Below are 9,774 nucleotides of genomic sequence, written 5' to 3'. Positions count from 1 at the left end.
GCATTCCAGTGATTGCAACTCCTAACAATGTAATAAATAATGCAAGCAGTACATATGCTCAAGTAGTAGGGCACTGGATCCTGGAATGTAAGAAATAGCACCTTCCCTAGAGACCACACACATGATCTACACTGTCAAGGTCTATTCCAGCTGGCCAAAACATTCCTTTCATAAAGGTAAAATATTAGACAATAAAGGCCGGATGTGGTGGTTCACACCTGTAATCCCAAAACTTTGGGAGGCTGAGGGGCAGATCACCTGAGGTCAGGAGTTCAATACCAGCCTGGCTGGCATGGTGAAACCCTGTCTGTACTAAAAATACAAAAATTAGCCAGGCATGTTGGTGGGTATCTGTAACCCCAGCTACTCAGGAGGCCGAGGCAGGAGAATCACTTGAACCTGGGAGGTGGAGGTTGCAGTGAGCCGAGATCACGTCATTGCACTTCAGCCTGGGTAACAAGAGCGAGGCTACATCTCAAAAAAAAAAAGAGACAATAAAAACAATGAGGGAAGTTATAAAAGGAATGTTCAATTAAATATCAGTTAACTGGTAAGTCAAAGGAATCACAGAGCTATAGCTATAAAGCAAACAAATGTCCAAATAGTTCTAAAGTGTGAAGATACGTAATAAACTGTCGTTATGCCTGGGAATTGGAAGTGGTTGAGGAAAGTAAAAGCATGCTAAAAATCCTCATCTTACTTAGAGTCAACAGACACTTTGAAATTTTGCTATTGAAAAATAGAGCTATTTAGTTTTGAGTGTCAAACAGGAAATATAACTGATAGTATAAATTAAACCAAGCTGAATAGCTGAATAAATTCCAAACAAAAGGTGAGGATGGAGAATAAATGTAGTCCATATAGAAAAAGACAGGTCAGGCTGGGCGCTGTGGCTTACACCTGTAATCCCAGCACTTTGGGAGGCTGAGGCAGGGTGGATCCCTTGAGCCCAGGACTTCAAGACCAGCCTGGGCAACATGGCAAAACCCCGCTCTACAAAAAATACAAAAATTAGCCAGGCATGGTAGTGCACTCCTGCAGTCCCAGGTACCAGGGAGGCTGAGGCAGGAGGCTCACCTGAGCCTGGGAGGTCAAGGCTGCAGTGAGTTTTGGTTGTACCACTGTACTCCAGCCTGGGCAACAGAGTGAGACCCTGTCTCAAAAAGAAAAAGATAAAAGAATTGTGAATGAGGCATAAAAAGCAGAAAGCATAAAATAAGAGTGCTAGCTGCAAGCACAGGAAGGATATAAAACAGCTTTGGAGGGAGATATATAGATAATTGTGATATACTGGGAAATCTCATTGGAACAGATGACTGTTTCAGGAAATGTAAATTAGAATTGAAAAATAGCCTAAATAAGCAATAACCATTTAAAAAATTGTTAAAGAAGTTAAGTAATTTCTCCAAAATATGTGCAGATGCAGTTAACTTTATTAGACAAGTTTTTTCCTACTTTTAAATACCGAATAATCCCCGTGCTCTAAAAGGTAATATGGAGCATAACCCCGTAAGTGGGGTTGAAATGTAACATGGTAAGATGTGTTGTTCCTCTTACTCCCTGTCCTCTGCCCCAAGAGGAGAACTTTGGCCTGCTCTCCTGTTTGAGAACAGGGCCTGGGTATGGGACTGAAGCCCATGGGGTGTTTCTTGACTCATGTAATAACAGGCTGACTGTCTCAGGTCATCCTTGTATTGGAAATGTTTTCAGACTCATTTTACAGAACATGAGTATAACTCTGATACTGAAACCTGACAAGATTGCATAAAAAAGAAGCTGGAACAAAATTTCAGTTTAAAAAGATACATAAACATCCCAGACAAAATGGCACTGCAGACAAAATGGATTCAGGCAGAGAACATTTCACGCTGTGGGAATCTTTTTGTTGTTGTTGTTTTGTTTTTTGAGATGGAGTTTCACTCTTGTTGCCCTGGCTGGAGTGCAGTGGCACAATCTTGGCTCACTGCATCTTCCACCTCATGGGTTCAATTGATTCTCCTGCCTCAGCCTCCTGAGTAGCTGTGATTACAGGCATGCACCACCACGGCCAGCTAATTTTGTATTTTTAGTAGAGACGGGAGTTCGCCATGTTGGCCAGGCTGCTCTTGAACTCCTGACTTCAGGTGATCCACCCACCTCGGCCTCCCAAAGTGCTGGGATTACAGGTGTGAGTCACTGTGCCCGGGAATCTTGTTCCCAAGAGGAAGAAAGGCAAGGATGAGTTCCCAACCGTTATAGTAGGGATGTGGGGATTAACCTTCATGCTGGGATAGAATCAGAGGCATGAGGCCTGCTTGAGGTAAAGAGGTAACCCCAAGACCCCCACTGAGTGAACCAGAACCTTAAGGCTGTAATGCCCATGAAAGAGGATCTTGTAAACTTTGCCCAGGGACACAGCAAGGGTTTGACTCCAGTGGTTCTGGGGGCGGGTGTGGGGTGTGGGGTGGGGGTGGTGGGGCGGGGGGAAGAACTCTGAAAGAAATCAAAGCCCAGACTGTGTCCCACATAGAGTTCAAGTCATTTAACAGCATCATGGGGGAAACCCAGAGATGTGAAATTAGTATAAAAATTGGCCGCTGGCAAGTGCTATCTCTCAGACACCTGAGAACAACATACGCAACCTCATTCTGGACTTAGGGACATTTTAGTTTCCCGGCTACGTAGATGTCTATAGAAAAACTGAGCTTTGATTGGATGCGCTTACAGTGAGAAATAGTCAAAACGTAGAAGGAAACCTTCCACCACCAGCAAATCAGCAACACATAAAGAGGAGCATTAGTTCTTCAAGAACTTAAGATTATAACAAAATACATTAAAATAAAATATATGATATTATAGAATATATATGTAAAAATATATAATAGCAAAATATAAAAGAAAGTAAGTTTGGGATCTTCTAAGTGTTCCCTATCCTCTGAAAAAAAAACAAAAAACAAAAAGAAGTAGTAATTCAAAGTAGCAGAGGGAGGCTGCAACCAAACATTGCACACACAGCTCAGGTGGAGGATGTGGTGTATATGCGCAGCAAGTATGTTTCCTAATACTGAAGCCCAGAATTAGGCAGACATTAACCACTTGATTGCAGGTAATTCTGGGGCATGTGACAGGGAGAGCTTGTCCCAAAAGGGCTGCAGAGAACACCTCACCCTGTGGCAAACTTATTCACAAAAGGAAAAAGCGCAGAGATGAGCCAAGCCAAGCCTCCAGGCATTCGTCTGAAACTTGCAATCAAATACATTTCTCTATATTCCCAGGAGAGAAGGGCCAGGCATATGCTGGGGGATATAACGCCTCCACTTCCCTGCCATCATGCAAGTAAGAATGGGGAAAAAAGGCATTTCCCTCTTCACCTAAATAACAAATGATTAAAGGGGATAAAAAAAAAGGCATAGAAACTATAAGGGGCCAGGTGTGGTGGCTCACGCCTGTAATCCCAGCACTTTGGGAGGCCAAGGTGGGCAGATCACCTGAGGTCCCGAGTTCAAGACCAGCCTGGCTAACATGGTGAAACCCCGTCTACTAAAAATACAAAAATTAGCTGGGCATGGTGGCGTGCATCTGTCATCCCAGCTACTAGGGACACTAAGGCAGGAGAATTGCTTGAACGTGGGAGGTGGAGGTGACAGCTGAGATCATGCCATGGCACTCCAGCCTGGGCAACAGAGCAAGACTGTCTCAAAAAAAAAAGAAGAAGAAGAAAAGAAAAAAAAGGAAAGAGTACAAGCAAATAAAACTTCAGGAAATAGAAAAACTCACTAAAATTACAATCTCAGAAATAAAGTTTAAAATAGTAGGTGAGATAAACTAAAAGAATTCTGAAATGAATAGAATTTCCCAGGATTCAACAAATAAATTAAATGATGAAAAATATAAACAAGATGCTGAGACATGGAGAAAAAATGAGTCCACTCCATCAAAGGTTCTGGCAGACAACATGGACTGAGCACAAAGTCGGGTTCCCATCCTCACCGCCTTTGCCTGCCTGTGCCATAGAGACTGGAGACTAAAAGCCTCATGCTCCCAGTGTTGCATTTAGCTGGGGGCGGCCAGATTCCTTGCCTCTGAGACACGAGTGGAAGTGCAATAGTGCTGCCTTCTCCTTCCACCACAGGGTCCGATGTGGTCGATGGCTGTACTTGCTTCCATGTTATGGTGATGAGAGAAAGACCAAGTGCGGCATGTAGGCTTTGGTGCTGACATATGCTTCCCGCAGGACTTCTTGCTATGTGGAAAATCAATCCCAATTTATTTAAGCCACTGTAGTTGGCTTTTCCATTACATGTAGCTGAAAATATTTCTAACTGATATTAAAGTTTATTTGTTCCTAAAAGAGACAATTAGATAGCATGGTGGAGAGGGAACAAAATCATTTTGCAAACATACAGACAAAAAAATAGAATAGAATACGGACACCAGTGTACCATTCACCGAGGTTTAAACAGTCATTATTTTGCCTTACTTGCTTTCTCTAGGTTTTTCTTTTGCTGAAATTATTTTAAAATAAATTACAGACATCATGATATTTAACATATATCCCTCAGTACTTGGCTCTAAAAAGAACATTTTTCTAGACAACCATGATTCCATGAGTACATCTAATGAAATTAATAATTCTGAGCATCATCTAGTGCCCAATCTATATTCAGATGTCAGGGGATTTGTCTACCAGAATCCGGTGAAACACCAGATATTGCATTTGGGTTTAACGTTCCTTAATTCTGTTGCAATCTATGGTATTACCTTACCCTTTTATGACTGAGTTTTTTGAAGACACCAGGACAGTTGTCTTACAGAATATTCTATATTCTTGATTTCTCTGATTATTTTCCAGTGGTCAGTTTGATTTCCTGTAAACTGAAAAGGATATCTAAAGGCTGGATTCAATTCTGGTTAAACATTTTGGGCAAGAATACTTTGTGGTTGATACTGTGTTCCTCATTTTCGTTACACGAGGGGGCACATAATATCTGGTTTTTCCACTGTTAGTGATGTTAAGTATTGTTCCTTGAATAAGGTGGTAACAGCCAGAACTCTCCATTGTGAAGTTAGTTTTTGCCCTCATGACTAGTAAGTAAACTGTGAAGTCATGCTTTGGCGCCACTGTGAATGTTCAGTTACCCATTGCCCTTTTGCCTAAGATTTTAGCATGCGTTGATGATTATAACCCTAATGAAATATTCCATTCAAGTGACAAAATGGTGATTTCCCCAATTCTATCATTTCCTTTACACTTATCAGTTATCATTCTTCCATAAAGAAGAGGTTTCCCTTAGGAACTGGGGCCATTTGGCTCCCCTTCTGGAAGGGCAATATGTATCCTTGATTCTTTCTCTCCAGTTAATGATTTCAGAATGAGGGATTCATGTTATGGTCACCTCCAATAACATCAAATGAACCTTTTAGGAGGAAGATTCTATCTTGTGAGTACTATATTGGACTCATGAATTATTATATTTTCAAATATGCCCACATCAATTACCTTACTTTTTTAAACTTATTATTTTGAGATAATTATAGATTCGTGTGAAGTTGTAAGAAATAATACAGAGAGAACCCATGTACCTTTTACGCAGTTTTCCCTAGTGGGAGCATTTTGAAAAACTGTAGTACAATATCACAAGGATATTGATGTTGATGATGTCAAGATGCCGAGTATTTCCGTTACTGTAGGATCTCTCATGTTGCCCTTTTATTTATCATTCTTTTTGATGCTTTGACTGTCCAAACTTTGGCCAGTAGAAACGCGTTCAAGATTCCTGTGTCTTTTTCACATAATCCCATGCTGTTTGATTTCATGCTTTCTGGCAGTACAAGGTGTCTCAGAGTTGCCCGTGCTTTCTGCCTGAGACCTGGAATCCACTATTTCTTCAAGGAGCCTTTCCTAGTTCGTGGCATTTCCAAAGAAAAGTCCAAGGGCTAGGGGTACTCAGTGCCACTCAGTTGTCATTGATCCTGGGCTCTTGCAATGCACAAAATGGAAATGTTTATATATTTCAAATTAATTAAAATATCTTCAACTGATGGGGAAGATCAAAATTAACATTATATAACATTCCCAGATTTTTACTTAACATTAATTTCAAACTTTTGTCTCTTGCTCTGCAAATCTTTTTTCCTAACATACTTATTTGCTTTATGCTATGCTATACATAAAAAAGTTTCAAAATATGATTATTACGGCTTACAATAAAGTCACTGAATCAATATGAATATTTCTTTGCAGTTCTTCTGTCCTTTTAGCCCAGATATAAGGTTAAAGTACTGTTTTAAAGTCATATGATTTGTATTATTTTATGAGGCTATGTTACTAATTTGATATATAGTGAGCTTCATTTGTTCTAGTTTATTTTCAATTTTAGAGTTTTCTTTTTTGACTTAATTTTATTCTTTAAAATATAAGGATATAAAATTTGTGGCTCAAAAGCAAAAACTATATAAAAATTGCCATCACAAATGTATTGTTTCTATATGTCCCTCTCTTTTTACCTCTTTAGTCTCCCCTCCACTCCCCTTCCCTCCCTTCTTTCCTTCCTCTCTTTCTTCCTTTCTCCCTCTTTCCTTTTTTCTTTTCTTTCTCACATAAAGCACATACATACAAATAGTTTTTTTTTCCCATTCCTTTTCTTCATAAGAGGTAGCAATTTGTCTTCTTTTGTTTTCATTTAAAAATATAAGCCTGAGGTTACTCCTCCTGATAGTGGTCCTCATAAAGCCTATGAAAGGGGCATAGTACTGTGTGGGTCGGCCACAGGGTAGGCCACTATCCCCGTCCTGATGGATGTTTGCATTGTTTTCAATCTTTTGCTTTTCCAAATAAAGCCAGTAGGATAGCTTGTGCATAGTTTGTGGTTTTGTTTTGTTGTTGTTTGTCCTTGTGGAAGTGCATCTACACTAGTAAGAATTTGTTGTCAAAGGGTGTCTTGGTAGCCAGGTATTATCCAATGTCTCTGATTGGGAATTTTAACAGTTTGCATTCTCAACAGTAATGTCTGAGTGTGACTGTTTTTCCATAGCTTCATCAGTAGAGTGTATTGTCTCACTATGACATTATTTAATTAGTTAATTATTTGCATTTTCCCTTTTAAGAATGAGCTTGAGAAACTTTTTCTGTGTTTAAGGGATATTTGCATTTTTATTTTTTTCTGTGAACTTTTCATTTATTCTTAGGGCTGCCTTTTTGATTATGTTGCTCATTTATTTTTCTTTTCTTTTTTTTTTTTTTTTTTCTGAGATGAGATGGAGTTTTGCTCTTGTCGCCCAGGGTGGATTGCAATGGCGTGATCTTGGCACACTGCAACCTCTGCCTCCCAGGTTCAAGTGATTCTCCTGCCTGAGCCTCCCGAGTAGCTGGGATTACAGGTGCTGACCACCACTCCCAGCTAATTTTTGTATTTTAAGTAGAGACAGCGTTTCACCATGATGGCCAGTCTAGTCTTGAACTGCTGACCTCAGGTGATCTGCCTGCCTCAGCCTCCCAAAGTGCTGGGATTACAGGCGTGAGCCACCGCGTCCTGCCTATGTTGTTCATTTCTTTTATATATTCTCATTTTCTGGTTCATTTAATCTATCTTACTGAGAAAGTATAGTAACACCTCCTTGAATATTCAATAGTTTCTGTTTTGTGCAAATTGCTCTTTATTTATTTGGTATATAAAAAATGTGTTAACTTCTAATTGTGAATTACAGCTTTTATCATTAGAAAGTATCTATCTTTGTCATCCTTAATACTCTTTTTATTTTGTCTGATATCAAGATCAGGACCTCCCGGTGAATATTATATTAATTTGCCTAGTATACCTTTTTCCATTCTTTTTATATGTTTTTTACTTTTTAGCCCTTGAATTATTATATATATTTTTTATTTTTTCATAAGTTATTGGGGTAGAGGTGGTATTTGGTTACATGAGTAAGTTCTTTAGTGGTGATTTGTGAGATTTTGGTGCACCCATCACCCATGTATACACTGCACCATATTTGTAGTCTTTTATCCCTCACCGTCTCCCACTCTTCCCAAGTCCCCAAAGTCCATTGTATCATTCTTAATGCCTTTGCGTCCTCATAGCTCAGCTCCCACATATCAGTGAGAATATACGATGTTTGGTTTTCCATTCCTGAGTTACATTACTTAGAATAATAGTCTCTAGGCTGGGCGCAGTGGCCACACTTGTAATCCCAGCACTTTGGGAGGCTGAGGTGGGCGGATCACCTGAGGTCGGGAGTTCAAGACCAGGCTGACCAACATGGAGAAACCCCATCTCTACCAAAAATACAAAATAAGCTGGACATGGTGGTGCATGCCTGTAATCCCAGCTACTTAGGAGGCTGAGGCAGGAGAATGGCTAGAACCCAGGAGGCAGAGGTTGTGGTGAGCTGAGATTGCACCATGGCTCTCTAGCCTGGGCAACAAGAGTGAAACTCTGTGTCAAAAAAAAAAAAAAAAAAAAAGAATAGTCTCTAATCTCATCCAAGTTGCTACAAATGTTAATTTATTCCTTTTTTATGGCTGCATAGTATTGCATTGTGTATATATATATATATATGTGTATATATATATATATGTGTGTATATATATATATATACCACAGTTTCTTTATCCACTTGTTGATTGATGGGCATTTGGGTTGGTTCCATGATTTTGCAATTGGGAATTGTGCTGCTATAAACATGCACGTGCATGTGCAAGTATCTTTTTTGAATAATGACTTATTTTCCTCTGGGTAGATACCTAGTAGTGGGATTGCTGGATCAAATGGTAGTTCTACTTTTAGTTCTTTAAAGAATCTCCACACTGTTTTCCATAGTATCTGTACTAGTTTACATTCCTACTAGCAGTGTAGAAGTGTTCCCTGATCACCACATCCATGCCAATATCTACTGTTTTTTAATTTTTTTATTATGCCCATTCTTGCAGGAATAAAGTGGTATACATTGTGGTTTTGATTTGCATTTCCCTGATCATTAGCAATGTTGAGCATTTTTTCATGTGTTTGTTGGCCATTTGTATATCTTCTTTTGGAAATTGTCCTATTCATGTTCTTAGCCCACTTTTTGATGGGATTTTTTGTTTTTTTTCTTACTGATTTGTTTGAGTTTGTTGTAGATTCCTGATATTAGTTCTTTATCAGATGTATAGATTCTGAAGATTTTCTCCCACTCTGTGGCTTGTCTGTTTACTCTGCTGACTGTTCCCTTTGCTGTGCAAAAGCTCTTTAGTTTAATTAGGTTCTAGCTATTTATCCTTGTTTTTATTGCATTTGCTTTTGGCTTCTTGGTCATGAAATCCTTGCCTAAGCCAATGTCTAGAAAGGGTTTTCCAATGTTATTTTCTAGAAATTTTATAGTTTCAGGTCTTAGGTTTAAGTCCTTAATCCATCTTGAGTTGATTTTTGTATAAGGTGAGAGATGAGGATCCAGTTTCGTTCTCATACATGTGGGTACCTGATTATGCCGGCACCATTTGTTGAAAAGGATGTCCTTTCCCCACTTCATATTTCTGTTTTGCTTTGTCAGAGATCAGTTGGCTGTAAGTATTTGGGTTTATTTCTGGGTTCTCTATTCTGTTCCATTGGCCTATGTGCCTATTTTTATACCAGTACCCTGGTGTTTTGGTGACTATGGCCTTATAGTATAGTTTGAAATCCCATAGTGTGATGTCTCCAGATTTGTTCTTTTTGCTTAATCTTGCTTTGGCTATGCAGGCTGTTTTTCGGTTCTATATGAATTTTAGAATTGTTTTTTCTAATTCTGTTTGAAAGGATAGTGGTATTCTGATGG

The sequence above is a fragment of the Homo sapiens genome, chromosome 7 (genome assembly GCF_000001405.40).
Source record: "Homo sapiens chromosome 7, GRCh38.p14 Primary Assembly".
In the NCBI taxonomy this organism is placed as follows: domain Eukaryota; kingdom Metazoa; phylum Chordata; class Mammalia; order Primates; family Hominidae; genus Homo; species Homo sapiens.
The sequence above is the reverse complement of the archived record's forward strand: the minus strand, read 5'-3'. Positions refer to the sequence as shown.